The sequence below is a fragment of the Homo sapiens genome, chromosome 6 (genome assembly GCF_000001405.40).
Source record: "Homo sapiens chromosome 6, GRCh38.p14 Primary Assembly".
Lineage (NCBI taxonomy): Eukaryota > Metazoa > Chordata > Mammalia > Primates > Hominidae > Homo > Homo sapiens.
In genome coordinates, this window is record NC_000006.12 from 1,301,008 (window position 1) to 1,322,466 (window position 21,459).

At 48.4% G+C, this 21,459-nt stretch overlaps 1 protein-coding gene across 1 annotated transcript, besides 1 other annotated feature; it reads left to right on the forward strand.

The window, feature by feature from the left end:
- The first annotated feature begins 11,090 nt into the window (after window positions 1-11,090).
- FOXQ1 (forkhead box Q1) lies at window positions 11,091-13,751 on the forward strand. Its single transcript, NM_033260.4, has one exon. The coding sequence runs from the start codon at window positions 11,698-11,700 to the stop codon at window positions 12,907-12,909; it is 1,212 nt and encodes a 403-aa protein (NP_150285.3). The 5' UTR covers window positions 11,091-11,697; the 3' UTR covers window positions 12,910-13,751.
- Window positions 11,545-12,261: an enhancer, noted in NCBI's record as "H3K4me1 hESC enhancer chr6:1312787-1313503 (GRCh37/hg19 assembly coordinates)". NCBI's record gives its function as "activates a minimal SCP1, AML or CMV promoter by ChIP-STARR-seq in primed H9 embryonic stem cells {active_cell/tissue: H9 hESC(primed)}" and the evidence as "EXISTENCE:reporter gene assay evidence [ECO:0000049][PMID:30033119]".
- Window positions 13,752-21,459: the final 7,708 nt, after the last annotated feature.

The window sequence follows — 21,459 nt, forward strand, 5'->3', positions numbered from 1 at the left end:
TAATGCTAATTCAGTCTGCCTTGCCAGCATGGATTCTGAGCATTACACTCAGTGTTAAAATTCTGCCCATTTAGTGATGTAGCCTTATATAATTCTGTCAACCCTTTCCAGGTAGTCAGAGTGTACCAACAGATTGGTGTACAGTCTACTTCAGGTAGTAATACAACCTCCATCCTTGAAGGTTGAGTTAATTACAAAGTAGCTAACAACTTCTTGAAAGACAATCACAAGTCTTCTCCAGGCTAAATTTGAACCCTAAAGTCCAAAGCTCACAGGATCATTTATGAAAGGGATAAAGGAGACCTCAGAACAGGAATATTTGGGCTTAGCATCAGAATTTGCCAAAGAACTAATTAGGAATAGTGTAGAACTCAGATTTCAAGCCATGCTTAGAAAGCCATGCCCTAATATTTTTAACACATAGACCATAAGTTTATTTTTTATTTATTGGACCTCTAAAACTAGAGTGCCTATAGAATTTATTGTCCCAGGATGCTTTTAAAAGGGGAAGGGGACCATCTTAATAATGGCACAGAGGAAACATGTGGACATTGTTCTGAGCAACTGAGATGTATGGTCAGATCATCTAAAACCATAGCATGCACTATGATCAAGGTGGATTTATTCCAGGGATGCAAGGATGGTTCAATATATTCAAATCAATGAATATGATTCACCAAATAAACAGAATTAAAAACAAAAACCATATGATCATCTCAACAGATGCAGAAGAGCATTTGATAAAATTCGGAATCCCTTCATGATAAAAACTCTCAACAAACTAGGCATAGAACAACAAAACAACAAAAGCCATATATGACAAACCCATGGCCAACATCATATTGAATGGGGAAAATTTGAAAGTATTTCCCCTAAGAATTAAAACAAGACAAGGATGCCCATTTTTGCCACTTCTATTCAACAAAGCATTGGAAGTTCTACCCAGAAAATCAGGCACTAGAAAGAAATAAAAGGCATCCAAATTGGAAAAGAGGATGTCAAATTATCTCTGTTTGCTGATGATATTATCTTATACTTAGAAAACCCTAAAGACTCCTCCAACTATCACTAGATTTGATAAATGAATTCAGTCAAGTTTCAGGATACAAAATCAACATACAAAAATCAGTAGCATTTCTATACACCAGTAATGACCAAGCTGAGAACCAAATCAAGGACTCAACCCCATTTACGACAGCTACAAAAATAATTAAAAAATAAAATAAAATACTTAGGAATACATTTAATGAAGGAGATAAAAGGTCTCTACGAAGAAAATTATAAAACATTGATAAAAGAAATTGTAGATGACACAAATGTTTGTGTCATCTATATCCCATGCTCATGGATTGGAGGGATCAATATTGTTAAGAAGACCATACTGCCCAATGCGATCTATAGATTCAGTGCAAATCCTATCAAAATATCAACATCATTTTTTACAAAATTGGAAAAAAAAATGCTAAAATTCATATGGGACCAAAGAGCCCAAATAACCAAAGCAATCCTAAGCAAAAAGAACAAATCTAGAGGCATCACATTATCTAACTTCAAATTATACTACAAGGCTATAGTGACCAAAACAGTATGGTACTGGTTTAAAAACAGATATATACATCAATGGAATGGAATAAAAAACCCAGAAATGAAGCCACATACCTAGAGCCAACTGATCTTCCACAAAGGCAGCAAGAACATACAATGGGGAAAGGACATCCTGTTCAATAAATGATGCTGGGTGCTGGAAAACTTGCATAGCCATATGCATAAGTATAGGAGCTATATCTCTCACCATATCCAAAAATCAACTCAAAATGGATTAAAGACTTAAATGTAAGATCTGAAACTATAAGAACTATAGAAGAAAACCTAAGAAAAACTCTTTTTCTTTAAAGAGATGGAGTCTCTCTCTCACACCCAGGCTGAAGTGCAGTGGCACAAACATGGTTCACTGCAACCTCAACTCCCTGGACTCAAGCGATTATCTTGCCTCAGCCTCTTGAGTAGCTAGAACTACAGGTGCACACCACCATGCCTGGCTAATTTTTAAAATTTTTTTGTAGAGACAGGGTATCACTATGCTGCCTAGGCTGCTCTTGAACTCCTGGGCTCAAGCAATCCTCCCACCTCAGCCTCCCAAAGTGCTGGGATTACAGGCAAGAGCCACTACACCTGGCCAAAAAACTCTGTTGAATATTGGCTTAGGCAAAGAATTCACGACTAATACTTCAAAAGCAAATGTAACAGAAACAAAAATAGAGAAATAGGACTTAATTAAACCTAAAAAGCTTCTGCACAGGAAAAGACATAATCAACAGAGTAAGTAGACCACCTGCAGAATGGGAGAAAATATTGGCTAACCATGAATCCAACAAAGGACTAATATCTAGAACCCATAGAGAACTCAAACAATTCAACAAGTAAAAAACAAATAACCTCATTAAAAAGTGGACAAAGGACACGAACAGTTTTCAAAAGAAGACACATAAATAGCCAATAAGCATATTTTAAAAATGCTCAGCATCACTAATCATCAGACATAAGATGAATTAAAACTACAATGAGAGATCATCTTATACTAATCAGGATGGCTATTATTAAAAAGTCAGAAAATAACAGATAGTGAGGATGTAGAAAAAAGGGAATGCTTATATACTGTTGGTAGAAATGTGAATTGGTACAACTTATATGGCAAACAGGAGATTTTTCAAAGAACTAAAAATCAAATTATCATTTCATCCAGCAACCTCACTACTGGGTATCTACCTAAAAGAAAATAAATTATTATATAAAAAGATATCTGCACTCATATGTTTATCACAGCACTATTCACAATAGGAAAGATACAGAACTAACCTATATGTATATGTGGTATATACATATTCCATGGTATGTATATACCACATTTTCTTTATCCAATCATACATTGATGGACAATCATACATGATTGGATAAAGAGTATAATTGTCCACGAATGTATGATTGGATAAAGAAAATGTGGTATATACATACCATGGAATACTACTTAGCCATAAAAATGAATGAAATCATCTTTTGCAGCAACATGAATGGAACTGGAGGCCATTATCTTAAATGAAATAACTCAGAAGCAGAAAGTCAAATAACACATGTTCTTGCTCACCAGTGGGAGCTAACTAATATGTACATACAGACACAGTAAATTTTTTTTTTTTTTTGAGACGGAGTCTTGCTCTGTCACCCAGGCTGGAGTGCAGTGGGCTGATCTCGGCTCACTGCAAGCTCCACCTCCTGGGTTCATGCCATTCTCCTGCCCCAGCCTCCTGAGTAGCTGGGACTACAGGCGCCCACCACCACGCCTGGCTAATTTTTTTTTTTGTATTTTTAGTAGAGACGGGGTTTCACCGTGTTAGCCAGGATGGTCTCGATCGCCTGACTTCGTGATCCGCCCGACCTCGTGATCCGCCCGACCTCCTGATCCGCCCGCCTCGGCCTCCCAAAGTACTGGGATTACAGGCGTGAGCCACCGTGCCCAGCCCAGACATAGTAAAATTAGTAGACACTGGAAACTCAGAAAGGTGGGAGGGAAGTAGGTGAGGGCTGAAAAATTACCTAATGGGTACGATGTTCACTATTTGAGTGATGGTTACACAAAAAGCCCAGACTGCACTACTACGAAATACGTCCATGTAACAAAACTGCACGTGTATCCCCAAATCTACAAAAATAAGAAATATATAATTTTAAAAAAATAAATAAAACTACAAAATGTTCTCATGAACAACTGGGCATATCATTTTACAAAGACCCTCTGTGTACCATGCAACATGTACCACCCACTACACGGCTTCCATTTCCACTTGCCAAGGTCTTGATATTGTGATATCCATGCCCAGATAGCATCACTGACCTCTGATAAGGTCAGAATACTGTCCTACCTCATGTATGCACAGCATGTCTCTGGGCCAAGCTGTTCTTATGTATATTCTTGTCTCTGGTTTACATGGGGAAATAGGCCATGTAACAAGAAAGGTCATGAAGTCAGAGGACAGCACACATGAGGACCTCAAGGGCATTCCAACCATACATGGTTGTCCATTTTTATGGCTCATATATCTTTCCTACCATCTTTGAACTCATAAAGCTGAATGAAAAAATCAATACATTTCCTTCAATGTCAGAAAATTCTGTGCTCAATTAACAGTCAAAATATTATCTTACAAATAAGAATATCTCTATATACTGCCATGGAGTGAATTCCAGGATTTTTTGAAAAGTTAAGAAAATAAAGTAGATAGAACTAACTGTATATAAAATTTTAACACTACCTACATGGAGGGATATATAAATACATCCATGTTGGCTTAGTTATTTTAAATAGAAGTATGTTATGGGCTGAGTTGTGTCCTCTCAAAATGTATATGTTGAAGTCCTAAGCCCCAGTACCTCAGTGCTGTATTGGATTGGAGATAAGGTCTTTAAAGAAGTAATGAAATTAAAATGAGGGGTCTTTAGGGTGGGCCTCAATCCAATCTGACTGCTAGCCTTATAAGAAGAGGAAATGTGGATACACAGAGAGACACCAGAGGTGCACATGCACAGAGGGAAGACCATGTGAGGACAGCCAGCCAAGGAGAAAGATCCCAGATGAATCTAGCCCTGCCAACACCTTGATCTTGGGCTTTCAGCCTCCAGAACCGTAAGAAAATAAATTTCAGTTGGTTAAGCTACCCAGTCTGTGATATTTTGTTTGGCAGCCCTAGCAAACTAATATAAAGGGTAATTTTAAAAGTTTTATCAAATGGTTACCTATAGGGTGGAGGAAGGAGCAAGGTGGAAAAAATATGGATAAAAACTAAATTTCCTTGAATATGCTTCATATTATACCTTTGACTTTAAAACCAGGTCAATATTCAAGCCAGGTACAGTGGTACATACCTGTTGTCCCAGCTACTCAAGAGGCTGAGATAGAAGGATAGCTTGAGCCTAGAAGTTTGAGACCAGTCTGGGCAACATAGAGAGATCCTGTCTCTTAAGAAAAAAAAAGTCAATATTACTTACTTGTTAAACAAATGAAGGAAATAAAAAATGAAATGGACCAGATGGTGCTAACTAAAGGCTATAGTTTGAATGTGCTCCCAAAGTTTTTCTCTTGAAAACTTAATTGCCATTGCAAATACTGTTAAGAGGTGGGGTCTTTAAGAAGTAAGTAGACCATGAGGACTCTGCCTTCATGAATGGATTAATGCTGTTATTGTGAGAATGGGTTCCCGATAATTTTAGCCCCCTTCTTCCCTCCCCTCCTTGTGCTCACTTCCACCTTCTACCCTTCCATCATGGAATGACTGTTGCCAGATGTTAATGTCATGAACTTGGACTTCCCAGTCTCCAGAACTATAAGAAATAAATGTCTTTTCTTTATCAATTACTCAGTCTTAGGTATTCTGTTACAGCAGCAAAAAGTGGACTAAGACACTGAATACCAAGTTGACGGCTTAATCACTAGAGAACAATTATCTCAAGTTACATTAAAATTTGGTAATTTGACTGTGTAGATGATGGAATATACACCCTAAGGGCCAAAAAACAAAAACAAAGCCCACAAGTAAAATTCAAACTGTTTTCAGTTATCACATTGTTAGTAATAAAACAGGAATTGAGATTCTGAAATAGGAATAGAAAGATTGAGATACATACACACACACACACACACACACAGAGGAATGACAAAGCAAATAAGTAATTACATTGATGTGACTGATATTCAGCATAGGGACCCAGGTAAAATCAAAAAATGTCCTACAAACAATAAACAACCCCAGGATCAGTGAACACTTTTCTCAATGAACGCTACTTTTTATGCCTTTCTCTTTACTTTTATACATACTTGAAATCTTGCCTAATAAAAACGATATAGGTGGATGGATGAATAGATAGATAGATAGATAGATAGATAGATAGATAGATAGATATTCTCCTCACATTGTTCCTACATGATTTACTAGTATGGGTTTTACTCTGAGCAACCCAACTGTGCACTCAACTCCTGCTCAAATTTTGAATAAGGGGCTTGTTCACAATTGAAGCAAGGGGTTCTGACTTTCCTTTTTATTTCTGGAACACCGGCTAGGTATTGGCCATAGACTAGGATTAGATGACCCCAAGAAATATCTCATTCCTCCAGGAACTATTTTTCACTTTTCCAGTTTTTACCCGGAAAGTTTACTTGGTTGATTAATTCTGAAGAATTTGCCTATCTGGGCTTACAAAGATAGTATACCCCTCCAAAATAAGTTTCCAAGTATGAAATGGAAGGAGAGACATAAATAATACTTAATAAGGGCCTAGAACATAGTAGTTCAGTTTTTAAAATCCCTATAACTGTTATTCTTCTAGATTTAAAAAAGGTGAGGTGTGGTAACTTTCCTGGTAGAGCAGAGATACGAACCCAAGGTTATCTGTCTCCAAAGCCCACACCTACCTAGAGTGGTAATGCCTTCTCTGGAATTAAATGGGAGAGTTAACCCCGCCATATCCACTCCAAATGCATAAACCTAGACTGTGGATCCAGGTTTGAGGGACTACTGGCCAAGACAAGGGACATAGACCCTTCCCCAGCTCCACAGGAAGCCCTGCAAAGACCTTGTTTTTTTTGTACAACTTAATATTCATGTATCCAAACTGGATCTCATTTGGCACTTGCCCCTCTTTTGCCCAGATTTGTATGACAGTATGATGATGGAGCCCTCTCCAAGGATGTGCGTCAGTTCTCTTCATAGAAAGACAGTCTCCTTCTTTGATACATATCAGGAAAGGTCTGATTACTAATTTATTGTGGATGGTTACAGCCTCAAAGTTAAAAAGAGAGAACTGGATCACTCATTGCAAACAGAAGTTAAATCTCCTTGTTCTGCTTGTAAAACTCAAAATTTAAAGAACTTCAGGTAATAGAAAAACTGGACTAAAACTAGACAATGAGGTTCCTAAGATCTAGCCAGTTCTGAAGAATGGACTCCATGATCCCACTATCTAAGCTGTCACCTTGTAACAAATCAGCCCCGGGCCTTTCCTTCCTACATTGGTATTTTCACACATGGTGCTAGAGTGTGCAGGATTTCGTCTCTGAGTGACAGAATCAGGCAGCATTCTCAATGACCCCTAACCTTCGTCGTACTGTAGATGATCTAGCTTTGTATCTGCACATCTTTGCTCCTCCTTTTATCCTTCTTTTTCTCTTTTCCACCATTATCAGGCCTGCCTCCCTGCCTCTCTCCACTCCCCAGGACCCACCTCCCAATAACTACTTAATTCAATGGGTACCCAGTGGCTTTCTTGCTGCTTATAATTCCTGAGGTCTCAAAAGAAAACTTCAGGCACAGCCCTTGGTTTTGCACCTGGTCAGTAATGCCCAGCCAAATTCTAAGATTCTTGGATTAAACCATGCCCATTGCTCAAGAAACCGAAAGAAGACTGTTCAAACAAACATGGTAAATGTACAAACAAATGAGCCTGACCCTATTAAAACATTTTTGGAAAGAAGCAAAAATACAGACACGTAAAAATGCCTAAGTTTTCTCCGTCTACTTCCACACTCACCTTCAATCCTTGCAGGATTTTTCCAGTGTTCAGCATCTACCAAAAGAATCAACCAGACCATGAAATGGGCTAGAACAGAGTTGGACAAAGCACTCCTTTTCTTCCCATGTATTTTCACTATGAGGAAAGGTAAAGAGGCAGCTGGGCTTTATCGCTGTAGAGGCCCTTCACTGCCACCTGACCTCGAGCCCCAAGTCAGGGCCCTCTCCATGCCCCTAGGGAGACTCTGCAAGGATTCAGAGCCATGCATTTTGCCCTGGGACTCTCAACATTAGCCTGGTCTCTAAGCCTGAGGCTCTTCAGTTCTTCACAGCATTGTACTGTAGATTCATCCAGAGTCCCAGGTCCCCATGGGAAGGTAATTTTAAGTTTACCCTCTCTTCAGATCCAGAGGTTAACACGACAAGAAATTCAAAGCTGTTTCCAGGTTGCTGGGTGGATGTGATCAAGATTGTTCTGTAGTCCCTTTGGGCTGGGAGCCTGCGTGATCTTCTAATGCATAGGGCAAGTCATCAATATTTCCACAGGGAGTCACCTTAGGTATTTTAGGAATTAAATTATTTTCTTCCCAAGATTAGTGTTTAGGAACTGGGTCAGTGAAGCACTATCAAATTATGGAAAGCGTTAAATTTGCAGATAGTTTCCACAGTTAATTAAGTTACTTTGTGCCCAGAGATACATGCACTATCTTCCTAAAATCACCACTTCAGGGAGGTCATACGATCATGGAAATATGAACTTATCTTTTGCCATAGTTTATTCACTTATCTCCATGGAAATTAAAGGGCAAGGGGGAAAATAAGCTAATAGGTGTTTCTTACCTACAAGTGTTTGGTCAAGCTCCACCTGCAGGCATTTTTTATTAACCCATCAATGTACTCCCCAAGGAATGGGAATTAAGGGGCAGAAATATCCAAGCACTTCTGGGAAACTTTAAAAAAATGCATGTGACGTCTGGCAGCGTCTGGTCTCCCCAACTGTATTCAGCCTTGAGGGTGTTGTGGATAGACACGCCCTGCTCCATACATTCTCGGTTTCTCTGATAGCTGCAAAAGGTGAATGATTTCCCCGCTGTAAAACAACAGCTAAAATTGATACCGACATCAACCACAAATGGAAAAAGCAGTGTTATTTCTGGTTTTAACAGAAGACAATCATGTTATCCTCAGCAAATGGCACATTCATGTGTCAAGGATAGGGGAATACAGTCATGAAGAAAAAAAGAAAAAAACCCTGCTCTAGTGGAGCTTCCATTCTAGCTGAGGTAGGGTTTTTTTTTGTTTGTTTGCTTGTTTTTGTTTTGTTTTAATCCTATCCAGGTGGTCCACGGCCTGCCATGCCATCTTCCTTCTCAAAGTCCACTTAGGTGGCTGCAAGCAACCTCTCACCTGCCCATTCCCTAAGTCACTCTAAAAATAGCAAAGGGTTTCCAGCTGAGAATTCACCCACCTCCAACTCACTCTCTTGCCCCCCAACCTTTTCAGGCTCCAAACTTGCAGACAGCAGCCCACAGGATAGACATAAAAGGTGGGGCAGGTCCTTGCCCCCCTTGCCCCAAATGAAATCAGGGTAAGGAGAGGATCCCCTGCAGCTGGGGAGGGGAGGAGGTTGGGTAAGAAAGGGGGAAAGTGGGACATGGAGGTGGGGTGAGCCACCTTCCCTGGCGGCGACCAGCATTCCTTGGTGGCAGGACACCTTGGCCCTGGAGTCTCGAAGAGGCCTCCCTTGGACTCTGTAGCGACCACGGGTCCCACCTCAAGCCTCCTTGGCTTTACCTTCCCCATCAAATAGTCATGTGCCCTCCTGCCCTGCCCAACCCCAGAGTTCAAGAGAGAAAAACATTCATTACGAACGCCTTTTATCCCTGGCCAAATCCAAGCCTCTTTACCTCGCTATATATATATAGATATACATATTTGTCTCATCCCACTTCCCTCTCCAGGTCTAGTGAACCATCAACTCCAAGGCTAGAGCTGAGCAGACCCCTCCAGAAAGGCTCATCTCCCAAAAAGCAGCCATTCCCCACCTGGCTCCCGAGGCGCATACTTAATAAAGTCAGTCTAATCTCCGAACGCGATCCTTCCCCAAATACAAAAATAACAGAGCTGTGGCTGGGGCTGTCATGTTGCCCGCCCCATTGTGAATGGCTTCAAAACTCCCTGAATAAAGATAAGAGAGGATTGTGTACGTTTTCAACACAAATGGTGGAAAGTAATAAAATAAACATCAAAGGTGAGCTCCCACCTACTAGCGGCTCCGTCGCTTTTTGTGCAACAAAGGCAGGAAAAAGGAGGAAACTCGGCGTGGCAGGGCAGCGGGCTGGAAGTGCACCTTCCCGGGGCCGAGGCGCCCGCTCCCTGGACTAATGACGCCGCGTGGGGATCACGCCCCGGGCGCCCTGGGGTGAGGAACGGTCCCCCCTTTCGAGATTGTCCGACACTGGTGCCAGTGAGGTCACAGCAAAAGTCCCAAAGGAATATTGGAAAGAAATGGCCGTGAACCGGTTTGTTCTTGCCCCCGCCCCCGGGAACACGCCCTCTCCGTCGTTCCTGTTGACTGTCAGATCCCGGGAACCAAGCGGCGGAGCTCGGCGGCATCTGAGGCTTCCGCAGGGACACAAGTGCAGGCACAGCCCAGCACCCTGCGCCAGACACAGCCGCCCCAGGGGAAGAGGAGGACGCTGCTGTCCTCCCGCAGGAGTCACCAGCCAGGTAAAGAAAAAGGTAAAGTAAGACAAAGAAAAGTGAAAGTCGGAGCCCATTTAGTGAGCAAGAGTAAAGGTCATCCAAAAAGGCGCATACAATTTCAAGCCCAGGAGTGCATTCATTAAAACAAGAGGAAAAGACAAGATGGTCCTTGAAAGGAGCTCATAGGAAGGGGCACAGCACAAGGCTCCCGAAAGAGGTCACTGCAAGTGTCCTGCGCAATTTCTGTTCAGCACCTCTGCAGTGACGACAGGGGTTTGCTTTCGTAAGCAGCATCGTTTTCACTACTACAGAAGCACATACGCCGCGTGCAGCTTAGGCCCGAGCAAAGTCCCTGCTCCCCTAGACCCAGTCCCTTCAGGTGTCCCCCTAGGGGAACTGTGGCGTGTCCCCCCAACCAGGCGCACTCGCCTAAACTGCGTCCCCGAACTCCAGGGCGCAGGGAGCCCTCGCGGGCTGCCCGGGGCTGGGGCCCACACCTGAACGGAGGAGCCGGCTGGCGGAGCGGCCCCGCGCGCGCACACACGCACACTCACAGACACGCGCAAACCCACAGCGGCGCGCGCGCTCCCCATTGGCGGGAGGAGGAAGGCGGGGCCGGCCGACCCAAAACAAACAACCTGCGCCAGCGACTTTGCCGCCGCGCTGCAGTGTGGCCTCCGCCTGGTGCGCGCCCGTTGGGGAGCTGGGGAACTGGGGAGCCGCCACCACCTCGGCCACCTCGTTCCCCCACCCCTTGCCGTCCGCGCTCAGGCCCCGCCCCCGCGGAGCCGCCGCAGGGTTATATTGGGCCGGCCCGAAGGTGGAGGCGAGACGCAGCCGCGGCAGGCCAGCGGGGAGATGCTGCCCCGGAGGCTGGGAGCGGGAAGGCGGCTGCGGGCGCAGCGGCCTCGGGGACTCGCCTCCGCGGGTGCTCAAGGCTGAAGGCGCCGGACCTTCCCCCACGGTGGCACGCACATCATCCGGCACCATTTCCGTGCCCCGAAGACGCCCGCGCGGGACCTGGGACCGCCAGTGAAGAACCCCTCCTGGGCTCTTTAACGAGCAGCAGATGCGCATGCTGCTTCTCTCCGGCAGGAAAGCCTTCTAAGCCCGGCGTGCTCGGGCACCCGAGGGTGGAACCGCGGCCCCTGCACACACTCACCCCAAAGTCTCAACGTCGAACCGAAGGCGACACCCACCCAACTCCTCCCTCTCCGCCCCATAGTCCACCCAACACTTGCAGCCCCTCCAGAGAAAAAGCCCAGCGGAAGAGGACTCCGGAAAAGTGACTATCTCGGAAGACCAGGGTAGAGCTCCCGGGAGAAAAAGGCGAAGATCCCCGGCCCCGGATCGCCATCCCCTTCCCTGGCACCAGCTTCTCTAGGCTGCGCGAAGGAAGAGGGTACGACGCCGGGGAGGGACTGGGTGCGCGGGCATGAAGTTGGAGGTGTTCGTCCCTCGCGCGGCCCACGGGGACAAGCAGGGCAGTGACCTGGAGGGCGCGGGCGGCAGCGACGCGCCGTCCCCGCTGTCGGCGGCGGGAGACGACTCCCTGGGCTCAGATGGGGACTGCGCGGCCAACAGCCCGGCCGCGGGCGGCGGCGCCAGAGATACGCAGGGCGACGGCGAACAGAGTGCGGGAGGCGGGCCGGGCGCGGAGGAGGCGATCCCGGCAGCAGCTGCTGCAGCGGTGGTGGCGGAGGGCGCGGAGGCCGGGGCGGCGGGGCCAGGCGCGGGCGGCGCGGGGAGCGGCGAGGGTGCACGCAGCAAGCCATATACGCGGCGGCCCAAGCCCCCCTACTCGTACATCGCGCTCATCGCCATGGCCATCCGCGACTCGGCGGGCGGGCGCTTGACGCTGGCGGAGATCAACGAGTACCTCATGGGCAAGTTCCCCTTTTTCCGCGGCAGCTACACGGGCTGGCGCAACTCCGTGCGCCACAACCTTTCGCTCAACGACTGCTTCGTCAAGGTGCTGCGCGACCCCTCGCGGCCCTGGGGCAAGGACAACTACTGGATGCTCAACCCCAACAGCGAGTACACCTTCGCCGACGGGGTCTTCCGCCGCCGCCGCAAGCGCCTCAGCCACCGCGCGCCGGTCCCCGCGCCCGGGCTGCGGCCCGAGGAGGCCCCGGGCCTCCCCGCCGCCCCGCCGCCCGCGCCCGCCGCCCCGGCCTCGCCCCGCATGCGCTCGCCCGCCCGCCAGGAGGAGCGCGCCAGCCCCGCGGGCAAGTTCTCCAGCTCCTTCGCCATCGACAGCATCCTGCGCAAGCCCTTCCGCAGCCGCCGCCTCAGGGACACGGCCCCCGGGACGACGCTTCAGTGGGGCGCCGCGCCCTGCCCGCCGCTGCCCGCGTTCCCCGCGCTCCTCCCCGCGGCGCCCTGCAGGGCCCTGCTGCCGCTCTGCGCGTACGGCGCGGGCGAGCCGGCGCGGCTGGGCGCGCGCGAGGCCGAGGTGCCACCGACCGCGCCGCCCCTCCTGCTTGCACCTCTCCCGGCGGCGGCCCCCGCCAAGCCACTCCGAGGCCCGGCGGCCGGCGGCGCGCACCTGTACTGCCCCCTGCGGCTGCCCGCAGCCCTGCAGGCGGCCTCAGTCCGCCGCCCTGGCCCGCACCTGCCGTACCCGGTGGAGACGCTCCTAGCCTGAGTAGCGCCGCGGGGCCCGGGAACGCCGAGTGCGCGCCGTCGGGGAGGCGGGAACGCGGGCCCGCGCGCGGACTTTGCACTTTGAATCCAGAGGAAGATGAATTTTTAAAATCTCCATCAAACGTGCCTTAAAGCTAAAGCATTTTGACAGGAGTATTTAAACTTAGTCCAGGATATTTTCCTTTGTGTTTTATAACTTTACAGAGGACCAAAGCAATTCTTGTTTTAGTTTCTTTGCGAAGCCTGCTCCTCCTTCCCTTCATAAGGACTTTTTTTGTCTTTCTTTAACGCCCAGGCTTCGTCTTATTTCTACTGTTTTTGTCGCAACTTCCATTGATTTATGTCCCTTCCCTCCCCCCTAAGTACATCAGGGAACCTTTCCACACTATAAATGATATGACTACTGTTTGGGGTTTCTGGGCCCCCATCCGTGTACGTATGTGGCATTTCCAGGTATGACTGAGTGTGAGAGACATGTCAGAGGCTCTTCAGTGATTTCTTGCTATTGACCGATGCTTCACTGTGCCAAAAGAGAAAAAAAATGTTGGGTTTTGTAATTAAATTATTTATATATTTTTGAAACCCGAATTGAAAATGTTGCAGGCAACGGGCTACAGCTTTATTAGTGGTTCTCTAACTGTGGTCTCCTTGGGCCAAGCAATTTCTTTAAAGGAAAAGTTGATTATGTATGTGGGGTGCCAGGACCACTGCCTTGAAAGCAAGTGTGATTTTTATTTTTAATATTATTTTATTTGTGTCTGTGTACATATTCATGTATAAATTTTATGAAACCCAAGCATAGTGCTTATTTTTTAATAAAACAACTGACTTAACACATTGTGATGATGGGTTGGAAGTGGAGAGATTTTTATGTCTGTCCCCCCTCCCAAAAAAATGGGCTCAGGTTTTGGTCTCAAGAAACTTCCTCTGGAGATAAAAATATTTTCCTGAATAATTCGATAAAGGTATTATAGAATGGGCTTGCAGATTTCCGTATGAGATGCATTGCTAGACAGATTTCCAGATAGGACTTCCATTCATGGGCTTTTTAAAAGTTGAAAACCAATTACTCCTCTAATTAGTCACCTAAGTGCTTCCAGAACAAATGAGAGGGAAGTGTCCCTCTCTCCCCCAAGAATCCTTAGCAGGCAAGTTGAGTTCTTAACAAGCCTAGAGTCAAACAGATATTTTCAGGTAAATTGGTTTCGATTTGGGGCTCAAAAAGTTGGAGCCCCAATTTTTTTGACAACTTTTTTGTCATAAGACTATCTTAAAATATCAAAGGTGTCTTCAGGGCAATTTCAAAAGCAATTTAAATGTCATAGTGTTTTTGTCAAAACAAAACCATCCACCTTTTTAGGAATGCAAAAGTTCAACTGGGTGTGAACCAATGGGTAGTATTTTTTTCACTCTTCCCTCATCTGTAAAGATTTCACTTGAAGCAGTGGCAATGTCTTGCATGTTTCAGTTGCAGTCTGAAGAGAAAATGCCTCCTGGAGAGAGGGAGAGACAGTTTCCCATATTATAAATGTAACGGAGGATTTTCATCAGTGGGAGTACCAGGGTGAACACCTGTTCTTCAGTAGGTTCCTAGGCAATACAGTTTTAACAATGCATGGATTGCAAAATTTTAGAGAGTAATACAAACTGTGGGAAATGCAGAGACTAGAAACAGGCCTCATTGCCATGGCTGCCATTCTTGGGTAGATCCCATCTTACCCAGGACAGGAGGATGATTTGAGCTCTACATATAATGAGGTGGGGAAGGAGGGTGGCGTTTATTTCAGGATGCTCTCTTTTGGCAGGAATGGGAGAGAAACAATCTTCCCTAAATCAGGTTAACAGATGATGAGTCTTGACTGATTTGGATGACATCTACTTAGTAATCATAAAGAGTGATAATAATAGGGTTGAATTACGGCAAGAGGTAGACATTTGCACCCACAGGGCCAATAATCCGACCCCAAAATAAACCTGAAACAGACCAGCAACTAGGGGCAGGGGACAACAGGTTCCCTGGGTAGAAATGATCAGACCTCAACATGTTGCTTCCCTCTTCAAAACACATGGAGGAGAGAATGCGGGAGAGCAGGGAGTCAGCCAGCTCTGTCCTTCCCACCTCTGGTTCCAGGGGACCTTGTCTCTCCCACAGTGTGCCTCACCCACAGAGGCAAAGTGCAGCCTACTTGAACATCTTTTTTGTAAAGCCACTGTTTTCTTGTCTGCACTGATACGTGAAGACAGTCCTGCGAAGGGAGATTTAAAGTCGCTTCTGATTTATTCGTGTTAACACACAAACAGCAAAGTGAAAGACAAAGGTAGTGTTCCAAAAATCCCGGCTGTTCCGCCCTCCCCTCAAAAGAAAAAATAAATCCTTCCTTGCTAATGAACACCCTGGAGTCTGGTAGGATGCTGTCCCCTCCTAGCTTCTGGTCCCCTTCTTTGTTTCCCCAGGGACTATAAGCGTTTCTAAAAAATTGTCAGAGTCGCTTGAGTTTTGCACCCCTATTTCATGACCATTTCCAAGCTCAGTATCCCACGACTAGAAGGACATCACACTGGGCGGGCGGGGCGGGGGCATTGGAGGGTCCTGGGCTGTCGCCTCCTCCCTGTCCCTCCTTCACACACCCAGCCCCGGGGAGTTTCGGTTTCTCAGTGCTGGGTCGGAGGCAGCCCAGGAGGAAAGGCGACGGCACAGCTCCCGTTTTCTCAATGAAGGCAGAAAGCTGCACAGCTGCTTTTAGTTCAGGCGAAGCTGGAATTCCGCGGAGCCGCACCTGGCGGCAGGCACGCCGGCCTTCGGAGGGGCCGCTCGGTGCGGCTGCAGGACCCTGCACTCAGGCAGCAGCCTCGCGGTGGCGGTGGGACCTCTCGAGCCCAACAGCTCCTTCCAGCATCTGCCCAGAAAACTGCCTTCCTCGCAGGCGCGGGAGGAGGGTTCGGGGCTCACTGTGCCCAGGCCCCCAGGCCTGGCCGCGCCCAAGTGGCCCCCCGCGCCGAGGGCAGGGCTCGCGCCCCTGCCCCCGTCCACCCCCCTCCCGCCCCCCCTCCAGCCTAACCCTCCCCCCGCCCACCCCCTTCCCGCCCCCCTCCAGCCTACCCCTCCCCCCGCCCACCCCCTCCTCCCGCCTCCCCCCCAGCCTACCCCCTCCCCCCGCCCACCCCCCTCCTCCCGCCCCCCTCCAGCCTACCCCTCCCCCCACCCATCCCTCCTCCCGCCCCCCTCCAGCCTACCCCTCCCCCCACCCATCCCTCCTCCCGCCTACCCCTCCCCCCACCCATCCCTCCTCCCGCCCCCCTCCAGCCTACCCCCCCCCCCAGCCTACCCCTCCCCCCGCCCAGCCCTCCTCCCGCCCCCCTCCAGCCTACCCCTCCCCCCGCCTGCTCCTCTCTCCTCCCCTCGCCCCAGCGCGCCCATCCCGGGCAAAGGCACCCGGCCCCAGCTGCGCAAACACCAGGCTGAGGGGCACCCGAGTGACCCTCGGCCGACGCGGGGGGCGCGGGATGCCGGGTGCGGGCGAGGGTGTGTTTGGTTTGGGACTCGCCCTTTGACACCTGTCAGTCCTGCCTGGAGCTGCAGCTGTGGGGCCCGGGCTCGGTGGATCCCTTTTCAAAGAAACCCATGCTGGCCCCCCGCAGCCGCCGCCAACCCTCCCTGTCGGCGCCTTTAAACTGCCACAGTCCCTTCCACCCCGTCGAAAACCCCTCCAGGCCGCAGTGGGCAGCTGGGTGGGGAGAAGCGCACAGCGGCGCCGCCGTCCCGGCCCAGCCTGGTCTCCGCGCGAGCGCCTGAGGCCTTTCTGGACCGCCCGGCCAGGCCCTCTCTGCAGACAGGGACCAAGTCGGCTGCCTGTGGGGGCTGAAAACATCTCTGGGAAGCGACGCACTCGGTGCCATCAGCTTCCCCAGTTAGAAGCCTCCTTTCTGCTTAGAGCACGGTTCCCGCCAGTGCGGGAAGCATGGGGCTGCGTGGCCAAAGGGCCCTGGTCACCCTGCGCCTCCCCTGCCTGCGAGTGAGCCCGGGGGGTGAAAGCTTCGACCATCCCGGGGTGGACTCTAAGCCTTTTAGCTATGGATAAAGAACCTAACCAGGTCCCCTCTAGAATTGTGCCTTAGATTCTTGACCCCACATAAATTCTCAAAAACAATCGGAAAGTCCCACCCCCAATAGATAAAGATGCGTTCCTAGGGTCCCCCAGGGTGTAGCCCGCTCATTCTGAAGCATCCCTAAGGAGAAGCATCTGTGCCCATTCTGGTTCCCCTGTTGCACAGTTTCACAAAGCTGGTATTTTTTCTGCCTCAGGGAATGTGTTTTCACACACAAAATACAAAGCTAAACTAGACTGTCTTGGATCAACGCACATACTTTCAAGCTCAGTAAGAAACCCTAATTTTGCACGGGAGAAAATGGGGCCCCACAGTGTGTCTTTACATATTCCTTAGTGGCAGACGTGGGTCTGAAACCCAGAGGTTCCAGCTCCCAGCTCAGAATTCTTTCAGTTGTAACACAGTGATCCGGAGAGTGCAGAGCCAAACATACCATGCCCTGAACTCAGTTGAACCATTCAGATAATCGTCTCAATTCACTTTTATTACAATGGTCGTCAGATTCCCCATGCGGATAAATGGTTTCCGCCGCTATAAGAATTTGTCTCTTGTACGTCCTGCTTCACTCAGGACTAGCTTTTTCTAGAGGAGACTACAACGCCCTGGGAGACGTGCATGTGCGTATCTAGACCCTTCAGCTTCCACGTATCAGGCGATGCAGCCCCCTACAGGGACGGTGACACTGTTTGCTCTCACTCCGCAGCGTGCCAGATACAAACCCCCGCAAGGGCCACAGGCAGAATGATGCTTAGGAAGGGGTCTGCAGAGGCCGGGCGCGGTGGCGCACGCCTGTAATCCCAGCACTTTGGGAGGCCAAGGCGGGTGGATCACCTGAGTTAGGAAGTTCAAGACTAGCCTGACCAACATGGAGAAACCCCGTCACTACTAAAAATAAAAAATTAGCCGGGCGCGGTGGCGCACGCCTGTAATCCCAGCACTTTGGGAGGCCAAGGCGGGTGGATCACCTGAGTTAGGAAGTTCAAGACTAGCCTGACCAACATGGAGAAACCCCGTCACTACTAAAAATACAAAATTAGCCGGGCATGGTGGCGCACGCCTGTAATCCCAGCACTTTGGGAGGCCAAGGCGGGTGGATCACCTGAGTTAGGAAGTTCAAGACTAGCCTGACCAACATGGAGAAACCCCGTCACTACTAAAAATACAAAATTAGCCGGGCATGGTGGCGCACGCCTGTAATCCCAGCACTTTGGGAGGCCAAGGCGGGTGGATCACCTGAGTTAGGAAGTTCAAGACTAGCCTGACCAACATGGAGAAACCCCGTCACTACTAAAAATACAAAATTAGCCGGGCGCGGTGGCGCACGCCTGTAATCCCAGCACTTTGGGAGGCCAAGGCGGGTGGATCACCTGAGTTAGGAAGTTCAAGACTAGCCTGACCAACATGGAGAAACCCCGTCACTACTAAAAATACAAAATTAGCCGGGCAGCGGTGGCGCACGCCTGTAATCCCAGCACTTTGGGAGGCCAAGGCGGGTGGATCACCTGAGTTAGGAAGTTCAAGACTAGCCTGACCAACATGGAGAAACCCCGTCACTACTAAAAATACAAAATTAGCCGGGCGCGGTGGCGCACGCCTGTAATCCCAGCACTTTGGGAGGCCAAGGCGGGTGGATCACCTGAGTTAGGAAGTTCAAGACTAGCCTGACCAACATGGAGAAACCCCGTCACTACTAAAAATACAAAATTAGCCGGGCAGCGGTGGCGCACGCCTGTAATCCCAGCACTTTGGGAGGCCAAGGCGGGTGGATCACCTGAGTTAGGAAGTTCAAGACTAGCCTGACCAACATGGAGAAACCCCGTCACTACTAAAAATAAAAAATTAGCCGGGCGCGGTGGCGCACGCCTGTAATCCCAGCACTTTGGGAGGCCAAGGCGGGTGGATCACCTGAGTTAGGAAGTTCAAGACTAGCCTGACCAACATGGAGAAACCCCGTCACTACTAAAAATACAAAATTAGCCGGGCATGGTGGCGCACGCCTGTAATCCCAGCACTTTGGGAGGCCAAGGCGGGTGGATCACCTGAGTTAGGAAGTTCAAGACTAGCCTGACCAACATGGAGAAACCCCGTCACTACTAAAAATACAAAATTAGCCGGGCATGGTGGCGCACGCCTGTAATCCCAGCACTTTGGGAGGCCAAGGCGGGTGGATCACCTGAGTTAGGAAGTTCAAGACTAGCCTGACCAACATGGAGAAACCCCGTCACTACTAAAAATACAAAATTAGCCGGGCATGGTGGCGCACGCCTGTAATCCCAGCACTTTGGGAGGCCAAGGCGGGTGGATCACCTGAGTTAGGAAGTTCAAGACTAGCCTGACCAACATGGAGAAACCCCGTCACTACTAAAAATACAAAATTAGCCGGGCATGGTGGCACACGCCTGTAATCCCAGCACTTTGGGAGGCCAAGGCGGGTGGATCACCTGAGTTAGGAAGTTCAAGACTAGCCTGACCAACATGGAGAAACCCCGTCACTACTAAAAATACAAAATTAGCCGGGCGCGGTGGCTCACGCCTGTAATCCCAGCACTTTGGGAGGCCAAGGCGGGTGGATCACCTGAGTTAGGAAGTTCAAGACTAGCCTGACCAACATGGAGAAACCCCGTCACTACTAAAAATACAAAATTAGCCGGGCGCGGTGGCGCACGCCTGTAATCCCAGCACTTTGGGAGGCCAAGGCGGGTGGATCACCTGAGTTAGGAAGTTCAAGACTAGCCTGACCAACATGGAGAAACCCCGTCACTACTAAAAATACAAAATTAGCCGGGCATGGTGGCGCACGCCTGTAATCCCAGCACTTTGGGAGGCCAAGGCGGGTGGATCACCTGAGTTAGGAAGTTCAAGACTAGCCTGACCAACATGGAGAAACCCCGTCACTACTAAAAATACAAAATTAGCCGGGCGCGGTGGCGCACGCCTGTAATCCCAGCACTTTGGGAGGCCAAGGCGGGTGGATCACCTGAGTTAGGAAGTTCAAGACTAGCCTGACCAACATGGAGAAACCCCGTCACTACTAAAAATACAAAATTAGCCGGGCATGGTGGCGCATGCCTGTAATCCCAGCTATTCAGGAGGCTGAGGCAGGAGAATCACTTGAACTCTGGAGGCAGAGGTTGCGGTGAGCCGAGATCGTGCCATTGCACTCCAGCCTGGGCAACAAGAGGGAAACTGTCTCAGAAAAGAAAAGAAAAGAAGAAAGAGAAAGAAAGAAAGAAAAAGAAAGAGGGGTCTGCAGGGAACCTGGGATGACCCAGAAGTTCCTGCTGTCTGGTGACACACACTTACAGGTGGGGACTCCTCATCAAACAACCCTCCTGTTTTCCCACAACAGGCCCCAAACAACAAAAATGGCCTTTTTCCCATATTGAGGAGAAAGGAGAACTTCTTAGAATAATTCACTTTCCTTTTTTAGCTTAAAAAATCTAAATTCAATGCATTGACATGACTGATAACTTCCTAGGTATTAGGAGACTTGGTTGGCAACCAATGTACGAAGATTCTGCTTTTCTCTTTACTAATTTTTTAAAAATTCTTTTGACTACAATAGCTGAGTTGCCTCAGTTCTAGAAAGGAGACCAGGAAGAGTCCTTCAACAATTCTTTCCTGCTTTTGAACAGCACAACAGTTTCCTCTTAAATAACAGACTTTATAGTTCTCTAATGAAACAATTCAATTTTTGTTATATTTAAGAAGATATTTGCTAATTCTTAATATTGTCATCAACAAATGGCCCTAATAAGTATCTTCCAAGAGGATCGTGATCAAAAACGTAAAGATGTAACTCTCCCTGGATTCAAGGACCTCTTTCAAATTGGCAAGGATTCTGATGTAATGAAATGCTGGTGGTTGTGCAATAGTTTCTGCACTGTATCTGTTCGACGTTATTAAGATGGGTGGGTGATTAGAAGCACATGCTCTTCCTGTCATTTGCCAACTTACACACAGCCTGGAAAAGAGAATTGTATCAACCTTCATTTTTGGTGAACTGCAGCCAAACATAAACATTAACATAATACCACATTTCCCTTCCCATTCCTGGACCCTCTTTGTCACTGTTTTCAGGAACAGTTTAACTTTGAAGCCTTGCCATAATTGAACCTTTGTATCATATCTGTTTGAAACCCAAAATGCTATACAATTCAACATCTTTGACATGTATTTGTTATTTCTGATCACCAATTTCTAGCCATTAAGAAAGAAGTAGAAAAGTTTTGCAACCTTTGGCTGGCTCTACCCACTGTAGTTAAATGTCTGGTCATGCTCAAAATCACAGAAGTTGCCCATTCAAAAAAAGAACTCAGAATGAAGACACTAAAGAGACCCTAGTCTAAATTCCAGCTGTGTCTCACACAGCTGGGTGACCTTAGGGAAACGGGTCATCCCTGCAAGCCTCATAAGGACGAGGGTTGGGCTGGAACATGTCTTG

Bases quoted from the DNA above. Each gene is read 5' to 3' on its own strand.
- FOXQ1 (NM_033260.4), top strand. From the start codon at position 11,698: ATGAAGTTGGAGGTGTTCGTCCCTCGCGCGGCCCACGGGGACAAGCAG.